The sequence below is a fragment of the Homo sapiens genome, chromosome 8, assembly GCF_000001405.40.
Source record: "Homo sapiens chromosome 8, GRCh38.p14 Primary Assembly".
In the NCBI taxonomy this organism is placed as follows: domain Eukaryota; kingdom Metazoa; phylum Chordata; class Mammalia; order Primates; family Hominidae; genus Homo; species Homo sapiens.
The window spans coordinates 94,877,561-94,898,066 of NC_000008.11; the positions used below are offsets into that span (position 1 = coordinate 94,877,561).

General features: G+C 41.8%; 3 protein-coding genes and 1 pseudogene across 21 annotated transcripts in view, besides 6 other annotated features; 3 read left to right on the forward strand and 1 right to left on the reverse strand.

Annotated features, from left to right (window-relative positions):
- Positions 1 to 4,186, forward strand: part of INTS8 (integrator complex subunit 8) — a 58,460-nt gene extending 54,274 nt beyond the window's left edge. For all 5 annotated transcript variants that reach the window (NR_073444.2, NR_073445.2, NM_017864.4 and 2 more), the window contains one exon: positions 2,558 to 4,186. Coding sequence is in view for 3 of the 5 variants with exons in the window: in NM_017864.4 (NP_060334.2) it covers positions 2,558 to 2,674 (117 nt within the window). In the remaining 2 variants the exon portion in view is untranslated. The remainder of the gene's footprint in view (positions 1 to 2,557) is intronic.
- Positions 2,664 to 19,133, reverse strand: CCNE2 (cyclin E2). 5 transcript variants are annotated; one of them, XM_017013958.2, is made up of 12 exons: positions 18,892 to 19,133; positions 16,648 to 16,687; positions 16,463 to 16,559; positions 16,331 to 16,384; positions 15,258 to 15,409; positions 12,855 to 12,990; positions 10,367 to 10,513; positions 7,903 to 7,998; positions 7,507 to 7,641; positions 5,221 to 5,332; positions 4,572 to 4,729; positions 2,664 to 4,185 (listed from the first exon to the last, which is right to left on the reverse strand). In XM_017013958.2, exons 2-12 carry the CDS (start codon positions 16,659 to 16,661, stop codon positions 4,072 to 4,074), a joined length of 1,215 nt encoding a protein of 404 aa, XP_016869447.1. In that variant the 5' UTR covers positions 16,662 to 16,687; positions 18,892 to 19,133; the 3' UTR covers positions 2,664 to 4,071. The 5 variants fall into 5 exon arrangements, with proteins under 5 accessions (XP_016869447.1, XP_047278367.1, XP_016869448.1 ...); XM_047422411.1 differs by lacking the exon at positions 18,892 to 19,133 and adding an exon at positions 18,550 to 18,674; XM_017013959.2 differs by lacking the exon at positions 18,892 to 19,133 and adding an exon at positions 17,825 to 18,060.
- Positions 13,661 to 14,586, forward strand: LOC100128548 (ribosomal protein L17 pseudogene; annotated as a pseudogene).
- Positions 16,453 to 17,014: an enhancer, noted in NCBI's record as "NANOG-H3K4me1 hESC enhancer chr8:95906241-95906802 (GRCh37/hg19 assembly coordinates)". NCBI's record gives its function as "activates a minimal SCP1, AML or CMV promoter by ChIP-STARR-seq in primed H9 embryonic stem cells {active_cell/tissue: H9 hESC(primed)}" and the evidence as "EXISTENCE:reporter gene assay evidence [ECO:0000049][PMID:30033119]".
- Positions 17,631 to 17,850: a silencer, noted in NCBI's record as "silent region_19370". NCBI's record gives its function as "represses an Ori minimal core promoter by ATAC-STARR-seq in GM12878 lymphoblastoid cells {active_cell/tissue: GM12878}" and the evidence as "EXISTENCE:reporter gene assay evidence [ECO:0000049][PMID:35858748]".
- Positions 18,231 to 18,330: a silencer, noted in NCBI's record as "silent region_19371". NCBI's record gives its function as "represses an Ori minimal core promoter by ATAC-STARR-seq in GM12878 lymphoblastoid cells {active_cell/tissue: GM12878}" and the evidence as "EXISTENCE:reporter gene assay evidence [ECO:0000049][PMID:35858748]".
- NDUFAF6 (NADH:ubiquinone oxidoreductase complex assembly factor 6) overlaps positions 18,239 to 20,506 on the forward strand; it is a 222,698-nt gene continuing 220,430 nt past the window's right edge. For all 11 annotated transcript variants that reach the window (NR_148905.2, NR_148906.2, NR_148904.2 and 8 more), the window contains exon 1: positions 18,239 to 18,367. The gene's annotated coding sequence lies outside the window, so the exon portion shown is untranslated. The remainder of the gene's footprint in view (positions 18,368 to 20,506) is intronic.
- Positions 18,461 to 18,510: a silencer, noted in NCBI's record as "silent region_19372". NCBI's record gives its function as "represses an Ori minimal core promoter by ATAC-STARR-seq in GM12878 lymphoblastoid cells {active_cell/tissue: GM12878}" and the evidence as "EXISTENCE:reporter gene assay evidence [ECO:0000049][PMID:35858748]".
- Positions 18,681 to 18,730: a silencer, noted in NCBI's record as "silent region_19373". NCBI's record gives its function as "represses an Ori minimal core promoter by ATAC-STARR-seq in GM12878 lymphoblastoid cells {active_cell/tissue: GM12878}" and the evidence as "EXISTENCE:reporter gene assay evidence [ECO:0000049][PMID:35858748]".
- Positions 19,011 to 19,230: a silencer, noted in NCBI's record as "silent region_19374". NCBI's record gives its function as "represses an Ori minimal core promoter by ATAC-STARR-seq in GM12878 lymphoblastoid cells {active_cell/tissue: GM12878}" and the evidence as "EXISTENCE:reporter gene assay evidence [ECO:0000049][PMID:35858748]".

Consider the following 20,506-nt stretch of genomic DNA (forward strand, 5'->3'; position numbering starts at 1 on the left):
GCTTCATACCTTACTTCCTTACTAGCTCCTGTAAGTATCTGGTTGTTCCTCTACATGTGTCAAAAGACGTGAGGAATTTACCTGTCACCCTGAGCTTTACAAGTCCTTGCCAGCCTCACATCTATGAGGTGTTATTTTTACTCTGTACCAGCCACTCACACCCAAAGCCATGTCTTACTGTCAGGCACAATTGTTCTGTTAGATCTTATACTGCAACCCACTCTCTGCCCATAACCTATCCTTCTCTTACTTCCTTGCTCCTGAGCCCCTCACGATCAGTGGGATATTGAGTTTTGTGACATTTTTTTCCCAGTCATTCCCTTCCATCTTCCCTTCTCTGCTCATCTCAAATACAACAAATACTATTCTGCACACTGAGAGGTACCGATTCAGTTGGTCTGAAGTGGGACCCTGGAATCCAGTTTTTAAGTTTCCCGGGTAGTCTGGTGATGAACCAGGTGTGGGAACCCCTGCTATGATAGAACTACTCTTGATCAATATTTTTAGCGTCTTCCCTTTATCCTTTACCTCACCTGGGAAAGCCCTAGCCCTGCATAAGTCCAGAAACTTACGTGTTTTATTTTCTTGGGCCACTGAGACTATTGGAAAAAGTCCTACGACTGGTGCCACTGCCAAACAAGTCTCCAACCCGTCAGCTTTTTTGTTTTACCTGCCACTAGTTCAGTGGTCCACATTCTCTTCGTGGACTCTAATTTTTAGACTTTCCTGTTTAAGCCCCTGTCCTCTCTCTACCTTTTCCATACTCAGTAACTTCTTTACCTCTTCTATGCTTGAGATATACCAGTGAAGACTGGCCAGGCTCTGTCCTCATGGATGTTAAGAGTCTTGGGAATGGTGACCTTGTGAGTGCTAGCTTAAAATTCCTATTTCATTCGCTGCTTCCTGCCTTTAAAATAATCTACAGCTGTACTCATTGTTAAGCCCGCTATGCAGCCCATAAGAGGTTATACTATTTGATGAAGGCAAATTTTTATGCTTTGAATTCTCTCCCCCTCAATAACCTTCTAATGAATTGATTTCCTATATAGTCAACCTCTCCCATAGTCTATAAAATATTTCATCCTAATACAAGTTTTTGTTGTCTGTGCCTCCACCTCCAGCCCCCTCAGCCCTCTCTGCCTAGCTTTTGAAGCTCTTCAAGCCAGCAATTTGACTTCTGCCATCACTGCTCTTACTTTTCTCTCAAGAGCCACCAAATGCCAGATCCAGTGGATACTTTTCAGTCCTTTTCCTGATTACATCTCCTTCCTTCTTGAAAGTCTTTATTCCTTTGGCTTCCCTGACATCATTTTTATTGGATTACTTTCTCTATTTCTTCCTTTTTGTTTTGGGTGTCTCCTTCTGCCTACTCCTTAAACTTGGTTTTCTCAAGAAGTTAGTCCTTGGGTTACTTTTCTGTAACCCTGCATTCTCCCTAGGTAATTTAATCCACTCTCGGTTTTGATTACTGTCCACATGGGGTGTATTACTGCTCTCAAATATCTGGCTCCTATTCCAACTTCTGTCTCACACTTCGGGTTTTTATAGCCAGTTATCTTTGGGATACCTGTTTGAAACAACTCTGGTTATACTCTACTACCAACTTTTGCCACATGCATTCCTTCATGTTGAAATGGCATCATCCAGCAATTTCTCCTATTCCCCAACTTCCCATACCTGACGATCATATCTGAATAGTCATTTCTCTCTTCAAGCTACATATCAGAAGTCTTATTGTTTAAAGAAATTCTAGGCCGGGTGCAGTGGCTCACGCCTGTAATCCCACCACTTTGGGAGGCTGAGGTGGCGGATCACCTGAGGTCAGGAGTTTGAGAGCAGCCTGGCCAACGTGGTGAAACCCCGTCTCTACTAAAAAATACAAAAATTAGACGGACGAGATGGCGGGCGTCTGTAATCCCAGCTACTTGGGAGGCTGAGGCAGGAGAATCACTTGAACCTGGGAGGCAAAGGCTGTAGTGAGCTGAGATCACGCCATTGCACTCCAACCTGGGCGACAAGAATGAAGCTCCATCTCAAAAAAAACAAAAAACAAACAAAAAAAAACCTTTTTTTTTTTTTTAAATCATCTATAGATTTTAAGGCCCTAAACAGTCCATAGCAAAAAACTAGTGTGTATATTTAGTTGGTTGAGGCACTTCTTTCTAATCATGAAAAGTTGAGCAACTATATGCTACCATAGTGCTGAGCCACCAGTTATTTTTGCACATTAACAAGTGGAGCCCTAGTTTAACTCTAAAAATCGCCATGTAGAGCTTACTTATACTTTCAAATAAATTTACATGAATTTACTTAATATATTAAAATGCCACTTAAGTAATTCCATAAACTATGGCTCAGCAGTCCATCTTTCCTTGAGAGTGGCCCTGGTTAATCTTTATGTTAATTTTTTTCCAAGACTCCTGGGTTTTACAGTTAAGAGGTTCAGTTAATCATTAAACTGTATCGTTGTTAGCACGTAGGTAGCTTTATATTACTTGTACCAACAAAACTTAATTTTTGACACACCTCTAATAACATCACTTTTCTGTTTTGGAAGATCAAAGCCATCGGCCAGACAGAGTTGAATGCAAGCAATCCAGAAGAAGTGTTACAGCTGGCAGCGCAGAGAAGGAAAAAAAAGTTTCTCCAAGCAATGGCAAAACTTTACTTTTAAGCAGTTAAATTTTTTTAACTTTTATTTTTTAAACAATGGGCTAAAAATAAACAGTATTAAAAGGTTAAGTTTATATAATACATATGTACACAATTAGTGGTGTTTTCTTTTCAGACAAAATACTGAAACAAATATTAGTTTAAAAACAAACTATACAGAAGACTTCATACCGTAACAATAAATGTATAGTTTCTTCAAAGGGAGAAGAGATTCACATATCTGATAACAAAATAAACTAGCAATCTAGTTTTCTAATCTACTTTATGAGGCTGGATTTTTTTTTTAGAAAAGCTAATTTAAAATATTTAGAAATAGCTAGCCTATGTACAGCAAGTTTTCATGTCTTTTTTTAATAAATAGATTTCTAGGAGTCAGTATATATTTAATACTCTTCTTCCTTAAGAAAATAGAAGTTTAGGTCAAGTGTTAAGCTTTATCACTTTGACACTGTCCTTATCTCACAATGGAGGAATTTAGAAAGGACCTTAACAGTTTCACAAACATAAATAAAGCCTTAGTCACACTAAATTAAAAAAAAAAATTCCTTAGGGATATCTTAGAGTAGTAAAGTGACTTCCTCATATAAATAGTTTGAAAGGGTACTTAAGTTTTTCACCCAAATTGTGATATACAAAAAGGTTATTACCAAGCAACCTACATGTCAAGAAAGCCCCAGTTAGGAAGGAGCCACAGCATTTATCTTGTTTATAATTTCTTTGGTACTCCCACTGTTTAGAGCACAGGTTGAACACCATGTTCATCTAAGCCTTATTAGTTAAAAAATGTGTTATGGCAAGGCAAATAAACTAGTTTAAAAAACATTAAATTTCACCATTTGTAGAAATTCAAGTTTTATAATAGCTTGCTATAGCAGCTATAGATAAATTAGTCACCTTATTACAAAACTAAACCTTTGTAAACAAGTTTAAATTTAATTTTCAAGAACCAAATTGCACTAGTCAAGAGTGTAGGAATTTTGAGAATCTAACAACTAGATTCAAAGTACTGTATCACTTAGTATACCCTTTAAGGTAGCACTTATCCAGTCCAAAACTCCAGTGACAAAATTCCTAGTTTATCAAGATAAACACAGTAACACTGGATTAAAGGAAAAACATTGCTATGGTATAGACTGTGGTTGGCTTCTATCCAGTAACCTTGGGAATGAAGACATCTTTGTAAACAAGTCCTGCTGTTTCTTTAACAGCTAACATAGGAAATAATTAAATGTATTCTTTAGTGCCAATTGTAAGTTTTAAAATCAGAATGGCAGTGTAACTTGTGAATTGGCTAGGGCAATCAATCACAGCACTACTTTCTGTAAAACTTTAGTAGTTCAGTGATACCAGTTCTACCCAATCTTGGTGAATTCCAACTTGTTTGCTTAGTTATCTTCTTTAGTGTTTTCCTGGTGGTTTTTCAGTGCTCTTCGGTGGTGTCATAATGCCTCCATTGCACACTGGTGACAACTGTCCCCCTTTTCTGAAGGTGTTTATGTAATTTACTTCCTCCTATACATGGGAAGAAATCATGCACTGATTTCATAAATCAAAGTCAAACCAGACTTCTGGGTACTTATTTGAGATTATTTAGGCCTAATTTTAATAGTCTTTTTATGTCTTTGCAAGTGTGAAGGGTCATATTCTGAAAGTTTCTGTAACGTTATATATTTTTTAAACTCTTTATCTAGACTGTTGGCATTGATCTTGAGACACTTCACAAATCTTGCTTTGATTTCAAAGTAATTTTATTAACTTTTCTACATTTTGAAATCAGTGTGCCCCTTAGAACTTTCTTTCCCCTGAAACTGCCTGAAGGAGTACTCTATTCCTACCATCAGTTTTGGTGACTTACTAGATTCAGATAGCAAAGCCAAAAAACTCACAAAAAAACATACCAGCATAGCCAAATAGTTTGTATGTGTCTGGATATTATGTCTGTCTTCCATAGGAATCTTCTTAAAAGTCTTCAGCTTCACTGGACTAGTACTTTTTACTACATTGACAAAAGGTACCATCCAATCTACACATTCTGAAATACTGTCCCACTCCAAACCTAGATAGATAGAAAAAAGTTAGAAAAGCATGAAGGTTGTACATCAGAAACTATCTTACATATGTCTGATGTACTTGTTGCTGTTTTTGAGATATTTTAAAAGAAACCAAATCATAACCAAGAAGTTTAGCATGTCAAAACAGATTATCACTCTCAAACTATTTACATGACTATGTTGAAGGGAAAAAGGACTTCAGAACTTCTTAACCAGTACCTTCTACATATGAAATTGAAATGGTCAAATCCCAAAGAACTCTTAAAGCAGAACTATAATGTTGATTCATTTCAACTGTATTTAAATTCCATTTGGTCTTTTTGTTGATACACATTCAGGATTGGAAAGTACTTCTAACAGAAAGATAATTACTGAACAGCTAATTTTTTTTTTGCCAAAGTTTTAAATGCATGTTTAGCAGAATGTTAAAGTTCAGAGACTGTAGTCCCATTAGAAGTTGTGAAAAGGTAAGAAGACAACAAATAGAGAGTCTTACCTGAGGCTTTCTTAACCACTTCAATGGAGGTAAAATGGCACAAGGCAGCAGCAGTCAGTATTCTGTACTGGAACTCTAATGAATCAATGGCTAGAATACACAGATCTAAAAGCTAACAGGAAAAACAAAAGTACAAGCAATTTAGGAGAAAGATGAGTACTAAATGTCTCTTGCTAAAACCTTAGGGATCTAGAGATAAATAAGCCACCACCCGGCCAGGCGCGGTGGCTCACGCCTGTAATCCCAGCACTTTGGGAGGCCGAGGCGGGTGGATCACAAGGTCACGAGATCGAGACCATCCTGGCTAACACGGTGAAACCCCGCCTCTACTAAAAAATACAAAAAATTAGCTGGGCTTGGTGGCACGCGCCTGTAGTCCCAGCTACTCGGGAGGCTGAGGCAGGAGAATGGCGTGAACCCGGGATGCAGAGCTTGCAGTGAGCAGAGATCGCGCCACTGCACTCCAGCCTGGGCGAAAGAGCGAGACTCCGTCTCAAAAAAAAAAAAAACAAGCCACCAACCTGAAGGAAGTAGACAAGGAAGGACTGTTGCAATACAGTGTGACATGTACTAGCAGGAAGGGCACCTAATCCAGATTGGAAAAGATAGTGATGGCCTCAAATTGCCATAAATGGGTCTTAAAAGATAAGGGAGCCAGGAAGAGTAGGAGGCAGAGAATGTTCTAGGTATAGGGACATTACTTGGAACTCAGTTCACAGTTCAGAACTCCTAAGGTGAAAAATAAATAAGGAGTACCTTCATTTCTTATCAAGAAAGATGAGGGGTGGTGGCTAGAAAGAGGCATGGTCTAGATTGGATCACAAAGGGTCTTTAAGAAGTCAGAATTTTATAGGCTGATTCTTGAAGCTACTGGAAGATTTTTAAATCAAAGTTCCATTTTAAGAAAGATACCTTAGAATGCAGTGAAGCAGACAGACTAGAAGAAAACATGTTTATTAAGCAGTGAGATTAGTTAAAAGGCTGTATAATCTAGGCAATAAGAGCTGAACTAGTAGCAGTGGAATGGTATAGTGTAAAAGGGGTAGATTTCACAGATTTGAGAAGATACTTGTGCAGTGGAATTAAACTTCAATTCTGTTTGTCCTCATTGGTCCAGAAGGTAGGAGAAATGGGAGAAGAGCTGGGAATTGGAAGTGAAATATTACTGTTATATACCTCTAGAAAGTCCACATTGTTTATCGGCTTATCAAAGATTTACCATCACTATCAGAAGGGTATAGCTGCCTAGGACAATTTGGGATGCTAGGAATTCTGGATGAAAAAATTAAGCTTTTAATAAAAAGTTTTATAAAATAAACCAATTTCAGTATACTTAGTGGTTATCCAATTTGAGTATTCATAATGTGCTAGATTTAAGCACCACTGCCCACAAATTTTAACCTAGGTGACTTAATAATTATCCCCAAATGTCTTCCATATGTTAGATTTTCACATCCCACATAGAATAAGAGGGTAGATTTTCTTCACTTTTGTTATATGGCAGATACAGCAGCCTTAAGATTACTTACGAGAAGTAAGCAAGAAAGAATGGGATCTCCTCTTTTTTTTTTTTTTTAATTTTTTGAGATGGAGTCTTGCTCTGTTGCTCAGGCTGGAGTGCAGTAGTGCGATCTCGGCTCACTGCAACCTCCACCTCCCAGGTTCCAGCGATTCTCCTGCCTCAGCCTCCCAAGTAACATGTTGGCTAGGCTGCCTCAGCCGCCCAAACTCCTGACCTCAAGTGATCTGCCTGCCTGCCTCAGCCGCCCAAAGTGCTGAGATTAGAGACCTGAGCCACAGTGCCCGGCCAGATCCTCCTCCTCCTCTACTTACTTACTTTGTTAAATATGCTAGCCTGGAAAAGTTTACTTTGAATTTATGTTCTAAAAAATTTTTTTAACAAAGTAATTTTAATTCTGATATTTAACTTGATAGGCACTCTGTGTATCCAAATGTAAAGACATCATACAGAATAATTCTATGCCATTATAAAGCTTAAACACAACTGGCGAAAAAAATGCTTTTCCCCATTTTATATCAAAAAGAGATACTTTAGTTTGGACTCCTAAAGAATGAAAGTACTCAGAAAAGTGTAAGGACTTTGTTTTTCTAGAAATATTAAGCAACATAAACACTGGGGACAGAACTTTATGCGTCAAAAGTTTTGTTCTAGAATTAAGGAGTGAAGTCAATATGTCATTTTGTGGTATAGCCTATTTAAGACTATATATACACTAAAACCTGTAATTAATAACATTACCATTGAATCAATAAAAATGTCAGTACCTGAGCTATTTGAATGAATGTTTCCTGAGAATACTGAGGTAGAAGAACTTTAGGAGCATCTTTAAGAGCATCAACTTGGAGAAAGAGATTTAGCCAGGAGATGATTGTTACAGGACAAAGTTCCCATTTTAAAGCCTATTAAACAAAATTTAAAAATGCCTGTTAATGAATGTAGACACATACACCACATTATACAGCAGAGCTTAGAGGTTAAGTACATTCCCCATCCAACCATAACCATTGTCAATATTTTGATGCATTAACCTCTTAGAACTGGATCCTAATACCTCAGTTTTGACTTTTTACATTGTAGTATTTGAGATTCAATTATAACTACTTATGTTACTTAGTAACATGGTTTCTTTTTTGCAACTAGGAAAACATAATTATTATTACCTTTAATATAATGAGTTCCATCCTTAAGATATCCTCTTCACTGCAAGCACCATCAGTGACGTAAGCAAACTCTTGGAGTTTAGGAGCATAGATTTCCTTTAAATTGTAATATTTTTATTGAGTACAATTGAGATAGAAATTAATTACAAATGTTCCTCAGTCTACAATGGGGTTACATCCCAATAAACCAAAATATCATTTAAGTAGAAAGTGCATTTTCATTTTCTTGGAGAAATAAGCAAAGACAAAAAGTACATTTTCTTTCTTTTTTTTTTTTTTTTTTTTTGAGGCAGAGTCTCAGGCTGGAGTGCAGTGGTGCAATCTTGGCTCACTGCAACTTCCACCTTCCAGGCTCAAGTGATTCTTGGGTCTCAGCCTCCCCAGTAGCTGGGGTTACAGGTGTGTGCCACTGTGCCCGGCTATTTTTTGCATTTTCAGGAGAGAGAGGGTTTCACCATGTAGGCCAGATTGGTCTCAAACTCCTGACTGCAAATGATTTGCCTGCCTTGGCCTCCCAAAGTGCTGGGATTAACCACTGCACCTGGCCAGAAAGTGCACTTTCAACTTAACAGTATTTTCAACCTAAGCAGACATAGCCCTGTTGTACGTCAAGGGGCATAATGAATGCAGGTTGTTTTCAACCATCATAAAGTCAAAACATCGTAGGTCAAACCGTGGTAAGTAGGGGACCATCTATATACAAATCACACACAGGCTTCAGATTTAAGGACAGCTTCACTAACTATAAATCTCAGTAAAATAATTCTAAAGTCAAAACAAAGGAAGATATTTTCATATCTAGGTATCTAGTAACTATATTGATTATCAAGACTTCTTTTCATAGAATTGACTTTGAATTTTCATTAATACAACTAGAATATGTCATTTCAGTTAAAGAACAGCCAAACTTGCTTTAAGATTGCCTGATATGGTTAGTCAGATCAAAAGGAGACACCCTGCCGGGTGCAGTGCAGCAGCTCACACCTATAAGCCCAGCACTTTGGGAGGTCGAGGTAGGAGGATCACCTGAGCCCAGGAGTTTAAGACCAGCGTGAGCAACAAAGAGAAACGCTGTCCCTACAAGAAAAAATAGCCAGGCATGGTGGTGGATCCCTGTAGTCTCAGCTATTCCAGAGGCTGAGGTGGGAGGATCACTGTAGCCTCGGAGGTCGAGGCTGTACTGAGCTGCAATAGTGCCACTGCATCCAGCCTGTGTGACAGCAAGACCCTGTCTCAAAAAACAAAAGCAAAGCACCCAACAAATAAGGTCTAGAAACTAAAAACATTTCCTTTACCCTAGTACAAAAATACAGTTAATCAAAAAATACTTCATGCAGTTTGGCTAACAGGTCTGTTTTAGCACTCCTGAGAAGAATTAGAATCATCAAAGGATTAGGTGTCTCCCACATAGGAGAACAGGCTAAAAGATCAGGATTTCAGTCTAGAAAGTTGTCTAAAACAGTATAATTTCAAGTAAGGATAGACTGAACACAAGTTTATGTGCCAAATTCAGCAGAATTTGGGGATGGCTCTTAAAGCTCAAAAGACATTTAAAAGAAAAAGGAAAACACTTAAAAAATTAATATATGATCACAATCCCTCTTCTCTCAAAATGATACCAGCTATAAAAGTCTTAGATGAAAGTATTGATGATATCCATCATGTATTAAGAAAAGTAAATTGAGCTTATGTGAAGGAAAATCTTAAGAAAGGAGGTGCCTTCTATCAGGGCTGCACCATCAGATACAAAAATATTAGGCTGGCCGGGTGCGGTGGCTCATGCCTGTAGTCCCAGCACGCTGGGAGGCCGAGGTGGGTGGATCGCCTGAGTCAGGAGTTCAAGACCAGCCTGGCCAACATGGTGAAACCCCATCTCTACTAAAAATACAAAAATCAGCTGGGCGTGGTGGCAAGCACCTGTAATCCCAGCTACTCGGGAGGCTTAGGCAGAAGAATCGCTTGAACCTGGGAGGCGGAGGTTGCAGAGAGCCAAGATCGCGCCATTGCACTCCAGCCTGGGCAAAAGAGTGAGACTTCGTCTCGAAAAAAGAAAAAAAAAAGGCTGGATAAACCATTATTCTAACCCAACACAGTATGCATTTCATTTCATTTTATTAGCTGTTTAGTTTTCAAAGGTCATTCTGTTGAATACAAATGCTATAATTATGTATATAAATAGAGCATCAATATGTTTCGTTTGGCAGAATGAGCCATGGGACATTTCACTTAGATACTAATCCCAGAATCTAAACTAGAGATTTGTAATAAGGCTCAGACATTACAGAGGGAACTATGATAATTTATCATTCATCCCTGTGGTAATGTTCAGAAAATGTACTGAGAAACAAAAACATTCACTTTTCTAAGGAGTTAATATAAAACATAGTATTCTTTGGGATTAATATGTTGATTTAAAAAAAAGTTTGGGATAAATATATCTAAGGATAAACTTTTAAGAACTTACCTCAAGTTTGGAAGCAATGAATAATGAGGTAATTCCAATGAGTTGAAGCATATTTTTATTTATATCCTTTTGTGTCAACATAAATCTATCAAAAAAGTCTTGTGCAAGATAAAATGTTTCCCTATGAAGTGTGTATACTTCACATACCTAGAGAAGAATCCAAACATTTAAATATTATCTTCTGAATTTCTCCAAATTAGAAAGTCATCTCTTAGCATATCAGACTTTAAAATATGTTTAAGCCAAACTGATAGCAAAGCTAAGATAGGAAAGGAAAAAAAGAAACTAAGATGTACTATTAGGATAAACAAATCTATTACTATGCACATTTACTAGTTTTATAGTTTTTCTTACCTCATTTATTTTTCATATTTTACTGCACTGTTAAAAATTATCAAAGGATACTGAATGGTTAACATTGGTGATAAACAAAATCTTATCCCTTGTTTCTGACTTTAATAGGAATTGCCCTGATGTTTCACTATTGTTATTAATAATAAATAGTATCTGTCATTTCTACACTTTTAGGGAAAGATTTTAATTCTCACAGTAACTCCGTAAGTAGGTACCATTATCCCCATTTTGGAGGTGAGGAAATAGAGATATATACCAGAGTTTTTTTTTTTTTTGACAGGGTCTCACTTTGTCACCCAGGCTGGAGTGCAGTGGCTCACTGCAACCTCTGCCTCCCAGGTTCAGGCGATTCTCCTACCTCAGCCTCCTGAGTAGCTGAGATTACAGGTGTGTGCCACCATGCCCAGCTAATTTTTTGTATTTTTAGTAGAGATGGGATTTTGCCATGTTGGCCAGGCTGGTCTCAAACTCCTGGCTTCAACTGATCTGCCTGCCTCAGTCTCCCAAAGTGCTGGCATTACAGGTATGAGCCATCACACCTGGCCACATGAGTTTCTAATAATGAGTTAAGAAAATCTCTTTTGCTGGCCGAGTGCGGTGGCTCACATCTGTAATCCCAGCACTTTGGGAGGCCAAGGCGGGCGGATCACTTGAGGTCAGGAGTTCAAGACCAGCTTGGCCAATAGGGTGAAACCGCATCTCTATTAAAAATACAAAATATAGCAGGTGTGGTGGCCTGCGCCTGTAATCCCAGCTATGTGGGTGGCTGAGACAAGAGAGTCGCTTGAACGCGAGATGCAGAGGTTGCAGTGAGCTGAGATCGTGCCATTCCATTCTGGCCTGGGTGACAACAGCGAGGCTCCGTCTCAAAAAAAAAAAAAAGAATGTCGAATTTCAAAAAATGTCTTTTGCATCTATTGAGATCTTAGCATTTTTCTTATTTACTGTTAAGGTAATAAATTAATAGATTTTCAAATGTTGAATCAAGTTTGCATTCCTAGACTGAAGAATACACTAAGATAGAGTTTAACACTGCTGGATTTGATATATTCTGTATGCTGTTGCATACATAATCATATTTAGGTAAAAACAGGAACAAATTGAATTGGATAACCACTGGATGAATATCAGTATAACAAAAAGGAAACAAATTAAAAATTAACATAATTGTGCTTAAGTTGATTCCATGATCACTAGACAGTCAGAAAAAGTCAAAACCCAATGCCTTCTTGTGCCCACAATTAAAATACAATCTTTCCTTCTAGTCAGAATAAGGAAAAAGATGACCTGATGCAAAAGGATAACATTTTAGTCTTAAAAACTGTTCTGATAGCTTCTGAGATCTATTCTGCCATGTGTTCCTCCTCCAAAAAGTCTATGGTCTTTTTCCCTTAGAATGCTTCATCTCTTGTCTTAAAGACAGACTACAGAGCAAATATCCAAGAGTTGGAGGAAAAATCAGTTTGTCATCAACATAAGTAATGATTTCCTTAATAATAATTTTAGAAACTTTTTTAGAGCTATTATCCAGAGGAAAGGGAATGGACCTAAACAAGAGAGAAAAATCTGGCACAAATCTATAGGGGCTTCAGGATCACTATTCCTTTAAATTAATGGTATATTTCGGAAAAGAATAGAAGAATATAATAAAGAGAAGGTATCTGGACAATAGAGGGCGTAGAGCTTCCAGATATCCATAGTCTCATTATGGTTTAGGATATAGAAATCAGGATTCCTCATCATCATGATTTTGTTAATACAGAAAAAGACTTCAGAGGGCCCTGAAGCCTAGTTCTAGTTCTTCACTTTGTATAGCATAATTCAAAACCTAATCAACTATACATTCCATTCACCTTGAGTATCTGTGGCACCCAGAAAGTGGTTGGTACACAGCAGTATCCACAGGTAACAGGAATTCTGAATTGGGTTTAGTTATATGTAGTAGCTTTGTCATGGTTTTACTCTTATAGAGTCACTTTCCACTTTGGGTGCAATCAACTACAGTAAGTACCTCAAAAAAGACAGCTTCCTGGGGATGAACAATAAACTCTTGAGAGTACATAGAAAGCACATTTACAGCTAAATATGTTTCCATCATACAGAGACAAAGGAAATTTGTATTGCTGTAACATACCTCTAAAAGCCAGTCTAGAAGTATGGACCTCATCTGTGGTTCCAAGTCAGAATGCAGAACTTCAAAATGTTTGTCATGAACATATCTGCTCTCCTTTTTTAACATGTTTAGCCAGACTTCTTTTGAACATCCCCAGCTATGGAAAGAGAGGAAAAAAACCATATATATATATATATATTTTTTTTTTTTTTTTTTTGAGACAGAGTCTCGCTCTGTGGCCCAGGCTAGAGTGCAGCGGCACAATCTTGGCTCACTGTAATCTCCACCTCCTGGGTTCAAGCGATTCTTGTGCCTCAGCCTCCCAAGTAGCTGGGAGTTACAGGTGCCTGCCACCAAGCCTGGCTAGTTTTTGTATTTTTAGTAGAGATGGGGTTTCACCATGTTGGCTGGGCTAGTCTCGAACTCCTGGCCTCAAGTGATCGACCTGCCTCAGCCTCTCAAAGTGCTGGGATTACAGGCGTGACCCACCATGCCCGGCTAAAAAACATAATTTAAATTGTGCAATCCATGTAATATACAAACTCTGTTTCACATAGATAAAATTCAACTTTCAGACATTGAAATGCAACTTTTAATTAGAACTTGGAAGAAGCTCTTAAAGTAAATAAGAAAAAAAACTTCTGCCTTAATTTTTGGAAACAATTTCCTTTGCATGAATAAATAGAAGCCTGAAGTAACACAGTGGGAACCTGGACTATGATCATCCAAACCTGCAGATTTCAAGGGAGTGCTTTCTAGTTCCACTTATTTATACTTTACAAAGGTTGCTGTTAAAAGATAACCACGTTGCTTTTCCCATAAGTGGTCTGAAGTAATCTGTGAAAATAGCTGGCTATTCACTTTACCTGGAAAACCCCACAAAATCATGCAAATCAAGAGGTTCAAATCTTTGTGTTCACTGTAAGAACACTCGTGAAACTGCCCAGGCTATCAAGGGTATGCATATATGAAAAACCACAAAGTGGCCGGCACAGTGGCTCACACCTGTAATCCCTGCACTTTGGGAGGCCAAGGTGGGTGGATCACTTAAGGTCAGGAGTTCGAGACCAGCCTGGCCAACATGGTGAAACCCCGTCTCCACTAAAAATACAAAAAATTAGCTGGGCGTGGTGGCATGCTTGTAATCCCAGCTACTCAGGAGGCTGAGGCAGGAGAATCACTTGCACCCAGGAGGTGGAGGTTGCAGTGAGCCGAGATCGTGCCACTGCACTCCAGCCTGGGCAACAACAGCAAACCTCTGTCTCCAAAAAAAAAAAAAAAAAAAAACACCATGAAGTATTTTTAAAATGTCACTTTACAGAAACAGCATGTGCCATTCTGACATTACAATGGTGGAGTTGGTAGGTGTACCCAGGCCAAGCAGTGGGACTGGACACAAGGTTGGTGGCCCAAAAAGAGTGCTGAATTTTTGCTGCACATGCTTAAAAATGCAGAGAGTAATGCTGAACTTAAGAGTTTAGATGTAGATTCTCTGGTCATTGAGCATCTCCAAGTGAACAAAGCACCTACGATGTGCCAACGGACCTACAGAGCTCATGGTCGGATTAACTCACACGTGATCTCTCCCTGCCACATCGAAATGATCTTTAGTGAAAAGGAACAAATTGTTCCTAAACCAGAAGAGGCGGTTGCCCAGAAGAAAAAGATATCCCAGAAGAAACTGAAGAAACAAAAACTTATGGCACAGGAGTAAATTCAGCACTAAAATAAATGCAATTAAAAGTGAAAAAAAATGTTTTCTCAAGAGCAATACAAAAAAGTTAAACACATAAGGCATGTGATCACAGTCAAGAGAAGTCTCAATCACCTCTAAATAGATCATCTACAGCAGGATCACCTATGGGGTGGGTAAGGTGGGACAGAATGCAGGGAAAGGGGGATTGGTGAGTTTAAGTGTCTGATTCCATTAAATTGCTTATTAAGGCCAATCATAAATTAATACAGTACATGTTTTGTATAAGCTGTACCTCTTAGTTACACTCATGGACTAGAAAAAAGAATTAAGTATAGACCTTATTAAGTTTGGTAAGAAATAAATAGGGTTGATACATCAATTGGAAAAGCTTCCTTTGAGTTGAAGCTGCAAGAAACACGAATAAAAATTTTAAAGGAAAAAGCTGTACATGTAAAAATGTTTCTATCTTAACAAAAAACTAATTCAGTCCTGTTAAGTCTTTATAGTACTCAGCAAGCAAATGAAAATAATTTTATAGAATCAGTGTTTTAAATACCCATATCATTTGCAACCAGCACTACTCTCAGATAAAATGACATATGATTAAATATTAGTAAACAATTTTTACACGTTTTTCTACTTTATGAAAGCAAAAGACAAAATAGTGCCATGTATTAAATCAGCACAACTTTATATCTTTGAAATAAAATTACTGAAATTTTTCTTACCTTAAATCAGGCAAAGGTGAAGGATTAATAAAAAGATTTTTAAATCTGTAATTTGTAAATCTGGAGAAATCACTTGTTCCTATTTCTTTGTGAGGTGTTTCAATGATAATGCAAGGACTGATCCCCCCAGATAATACAGGTGGCCAACAATTCTGTCATAAAAAAAAAGAAAAATATCAATTTGTGCAAGGAAAACCTTAGTTTTTGTAATGGATCTTTCATAAATGAAAGCTAATATGTCTAAAGAATCATAATTTTAGCTAACATAGATGGCAATATAGCTAATTTGACATTCACATTTTATAAACAAGCCATATAGCTCATATTGATTTTTATAAAGAGTAATAGGATGTTTTAGACAACAAAATGCAATTCTGGTAATAGAAGACACCAGGTGTCGAAGAAGGACAGTAATAACAAAATGCATCTGCAGTCTAAAATACTAATCACTTTCAAGATCACAGAATCGTTCTCTGTATCTAGCAATAGTAGCAGGGACCTTTTTTTTTTTTTTTCAAATAAGCTCTTTTTAAAAAAAGTGTGCTCTGATACTTTTGAATATTTGAAAGCAAAACCTTAAAAATGGAATCGATTACTTAAACGATTCTTTTCCCAATAATGCTGGTTTCAAACGCAATCACTATCTCCAAAGTGCTGCTTTCTGTAAAACACATAGGAAGAAGAGGTACCAAAGGGCTGCGTGCCAGGCTGTCAGTGATCTCACATCCTATTTATGCCCAAGAAGCAGCTATTAGGACCGTCTACTAGAGTCTGCGAGGGAACAAAGAGCAGTATATTGGACAGATTAGGCGGGCCCTGGTGCACCAGGCAGTTCCAAGAGGGAGGGATTTACAAAAAGGAACCAGCTGCTTGAAGGCACTTATTCTGCAGCTGTAGTAGGATTCGGGCACATAGAAACCACCCAAAGATAGGCGCCTTCCTGCTGACCTCTAGGGGCATTAAAAGTAAAAGTGTCAGAGGAATCTATCGCAAAGCAATAAACACATAATTCTATTCTTATTCATCTATCCTCCATTTTTCCCCCAAACCCACCCAGCCCAGTTCTGCATTACCCTAATTTCATACTGATGTTTCTTGGTGACCTCCTCTCTTCTTTTTTTGACATCCTGGAAAATAGAAAAGACCATTGGTAAACTAAAGTCCCAGCATGGAATTTCGTTCCTCCCTCTTTCTCCTTAAATCACCTGGGTAGTTTTCCTCTTCTTGGCCTGGATTATCTGGGCTTCTTGGGGGGATTCCGTCTGGCTGGGCTGGGGCTGCTGCTTAGCTTGTAAACGGCTACTGTAGTGAATTTTTAAAAAGGAAGTGTAATTAGTAAGTTAAAGGCAGCAACTAATTTGAAACATGTCTCTAAGACAGATAATGTTACCTTCGTCTTGACATTCTCTTCTTTCAGGTGTATAAAACCTCTGAAGGGGGGAGAGGAAAAGCCGCAGTCAAGTACATTGTCATTCACATTCTCCAAGTGCCAGTAAGACGCTGATTCGCAGGTGAAAGCTCAGTCCCTCCGAAGGGGGCCTGGGCCCTGTGACCCTGCCATCTTCTGTGCTATGTTAGCTAGCTCATGGTAATTCATTTTGGATACAAGCCTGCATTTCCTCAACTGAATGTACAGCTGGAACGCGAGTGTCCAAAAATTTACCAAGCACTCCTGACACCTTGAACGCGCAGGGAGGCACATCTTCCTCAAACGGGTTTTTCTGGGTCCTCCACCCTCTCCCCCGTACACCGGGAGTGGGGCTTGGGCAGCGCCCCCACGTCCCGCCTCCCTCCTGGACCAGCGGGGAGAGGGGGTTGTGGAGGCGAAATGCTGTGGAGAAGCCGGTTCCGCGCCAATTTGGAGAGCGGCGGTGGCGGGGAAGCAGGGGGCGGAGGAACCAAGACTGGTGTCACGGCCTCCAGTCTCCTTTCCCTCCTTCCCGGCCCTGCCGCCCTACCGCCGCTCGGAGGGGCGCCGGGACCCCAACTCCAGATGGGAAGCGGAGGGCGTGGGGGAGGGCAGGAAAAGGAGCTAAAGAAAGGGGAGACTGGGCTGGCTGGGAACTTTTCTCCCCATGGAGGGGACCCGGCCTCCCATCCTCTCTCCCACGGGATAGCTCCCCAAATGAGGGTGGGATAGAGAAGCCCCTAGAATGAGGGGCGGCTCTCCATGCCCAGCCGCTTCCCGGTCCCCTGCCAAGGTTCCTGACAGGGACGGAACGCGGGAACCCATGACCCCCAGTCGTCTAGTTCTCAGCCCTCCCGATTTTCCTCCCTGAGGCTCCCGCCTGTGGTAAGTGATCGGCCCAACTGGGCTTTCTTTCCTCCCACATCCCCCCTACGCGCAGCAACTCCTCACCGCCAGACCAGCTACCGCTCGGCTCAGCTGGCGCCGGCGCCAACCCAATATATAGGCCGGGCCGGTCCCGCCCCGCACGCATGCGCCTCAGACTGACACCTCCGGACAGCGCGCTCCCCTCTCCCGCCCGTCCGCCCGCGTGCCCGCGCGCCGCGCCCTGCTCTCAGTGCGCGCCCGCCACCCGGAGCGGCCGTGGGGTCCACTCTACCGGGCCTTCTGCCCGCGTCCACCGCGCTCCACGGCGCGGCCGGCGGCGGTAGGGAAACTCTCAGGGGCTCCTTCTCCGCGGCTGTTCTCCCCGCCGCCTGGCTCGCGCATCTCCCGCCAGTTTGCTTTTGCTTCCTCCCACTGCAACTCCTGGATTTCGGGGGTGTCAGCCTGCGGCTCAGCCCGGGCGCATAACAGGGGGACACGACTCGGGCGACCATAGGGTGGCTGGGAAGTGACCGTCCAGGGGCGCGCCCTAGCTGTCCCGCCAAGGCCTCAGGGAACCCAGGTCTTTCCTGAGCGACGCGGGGACCCGAGGGCCCGCCCCTCGGGGAGGAGCAAAGCGTTGGCTGAAGAGCTGGCCAATGGGAGGCACGGGCGGCAGCACAACGTGGAGTGGCTGCAGAATGTAAACACCACTCAGCCACGCGCCTGGCCAAGTGCGGCTCTGCTCTCCCCAGTCCCGGTCCGCGACCACCCGGAGCCCGCTCCGCCGGCCTTGCGCGGCGCGCCCAGGGAAGGCATTTCCAGCCCGCCCACCCAGGTATGTATCAACCCTGCTTTCCGGCTCCCTGCTCCCCCTACCGGGTTTCCCTCCCCATGGGTCGGTCGCTCCCCCAACCCGCCGCTCTGCCCCTGCAGTGGCCTCCAGCTGCCACCCCGCAGTCCCCGCGCAGGAAACGCTCGCGCCACGCCGCGCCCTCCCTTGCTTCCTCTCTTCTCCACCTCCAATTCCGGGATCCCAGAGGGTAAAACCCCTCTCCGGAGCGGGGCCCGGGAACGGCATTCCTCCTCCCCCTGAGCGCGGTGGTCCCCGGGGACCTGGCCGGGTGGGAAGAAAGATCGCCACCACGTGCAGGCCCCGGGCCCGCCTGCCGCGCCCCGCCCCGCCGCCGCCGCCAGCGCGCCCTGCGGAGCCCGCGCGAGCCGGCAGCGCGGGAGGGCGCCGTTCGCGCCCGAGCGCTGTTGGGAGGAGGGGGGCCCGACGCTCTTCCTTTATCCTTCCCCGGGTGTTTAAACTTAGGGGTCCCTTCGCTGCCTCTATGAATGCCCCCACAACTGGCGCACCCCAAAACTGCACATCGTCAAGTCAGACTTGCGGCGGGTATTCCGCAAACAGGTTTTGCGGCGGGAGCAGCGAGGCGGGGAACAGCTCCGGGAACAAAGATCCCCCGGGTGGAGGAGCAGTGCGAAGGCGTCTCGGAACCCGCGGTAGCTCGGGCGGGCCGCGTCTGCCCAGGCCCTGAGCGAGCCGGACGGCGAGCGGGCCGCGCCGGGGAGACGGAGCCTCGCGGGCGGGAGCCCTTCCCGAGATGCACCGGGAGGCGGCGCCCGGCGACCCCCGCTCCCGCCCGGCCTTTTGTGCTGCGCCGCTCGAGCGCGCTTGAGGCCCGGGAAATAGCCGCCGCCGGATGGGCGCTTTGGGGCGGGCGAAGTCCTTTTTCACACTTTTTCGATTCTTCGTCTCGTGACGCCGGCAAAATAATTCTCTCCCTAATTTACCTGTAGGAGCTTTGCCCAAGGTGACAGCATCAGGAGAAGCCCATGCCTTGTCAGTCCCAAGAAACTTTCTGCCATTTCTAACGCTTAGGATGGCTCTCGGCGGGGCAGAAGTTGCCTCCCTTTTGCAGTCACTCAAAACGCAGTTAGCGGTATAGCTAGCTTAAAGGTCTAACAGCATGATGTCAAGAAAAGGGGTCAGGGGTCTCCCAACAAGGGTCACCTGATCGTAAGCAGAACTGGTGGCCCTCGTGGTTGAATTTGATAAAATATACTGAAAACCAGTATGTCGAGTAACGTTTGTGGGAATCATCTTTGAATGATGAATGTATGCTCAGTACTGAGTTAACTAGTAAATTGATTTTAAAAGACACTGCTCTTATAAATGTTCTTTCCATACCCTTGACTATTATGTGAACAGAATGCAATCATAGTAAAGGAGAAATTAGAAAATTCCAAGACGTCTTTGTGTGGAAAGGAATAGAGTGAATTCTCCCATATTACAGATACCTGGTCAATAGACAAGTGGGTCTGTTAAAAAAAGAGAAAATAAAGGGTAGGGGGCGGGTATGTTTGTTTTTAGCTTGCTCTTTTCCTACTTATCCGTTTTAAAATTCACCTAAAGTATATTTCCCCTATTGTACATGTAAAGTTAAAACACCATGGTAAATAAACTGTTGGCCTCTACCATGCTTCTCTGGGGTAACTATTTTGATTGCTCCGACATTCATTTTCAGGAGGAAAAAACCCCAGAAGATGCTTGGAGGCACAGGCTTAAAAAAAAAAATTCAGGCTTAGCCCACCCATTTCTTTATTCTGTGCCTTTTTTTTTTTTTTTTGTATATCTCCTCTGTCGAAGCTTCACAGATCCTTTTCCCTGTGCTACAGTTATGCTCATCTTACAGGACAAAAATTACTTATTTAAATGTCTTTTATTTCCAACTCGACCTCGGAAATTGTTTTGTTCATCTTTTTATAGCCAGTATTCAGCAGTTCAAAGGCATATATAGTAGGACTTGGGTAAATGCTGATTTGAATTGTATGTAGGATATCCCATTATAGAATTTTAGGTCTCTAGGTTACCATGATGGATGATAGACGGATGGTGGAATTATTCCCAATAAATACCAGGCTTTTAAAAACATTAATAGACTTTATTTTTTAGAACAGTTTTAAAGAAAAA

Excerpts from the sequence above, each read along its gene's own strand:
- CCNE2 (XM_017013958.2), bottom strand. Across the intron at positions 15,410-16,330 it reads AACATCAGTATGAAATTAGG|AATTGTTGGCCACCTGTATT; the intron begins GTAATGCAGAAC and ends TTTTTATGACAG. Across the intron at positions 10,514-12,854 it reads TTCTAGACTGGCTTTTAGAG|GTATGTGAAGTATACACACT; the intron begins GTATGTTACAGC and ends ATTCTTCTCTAG.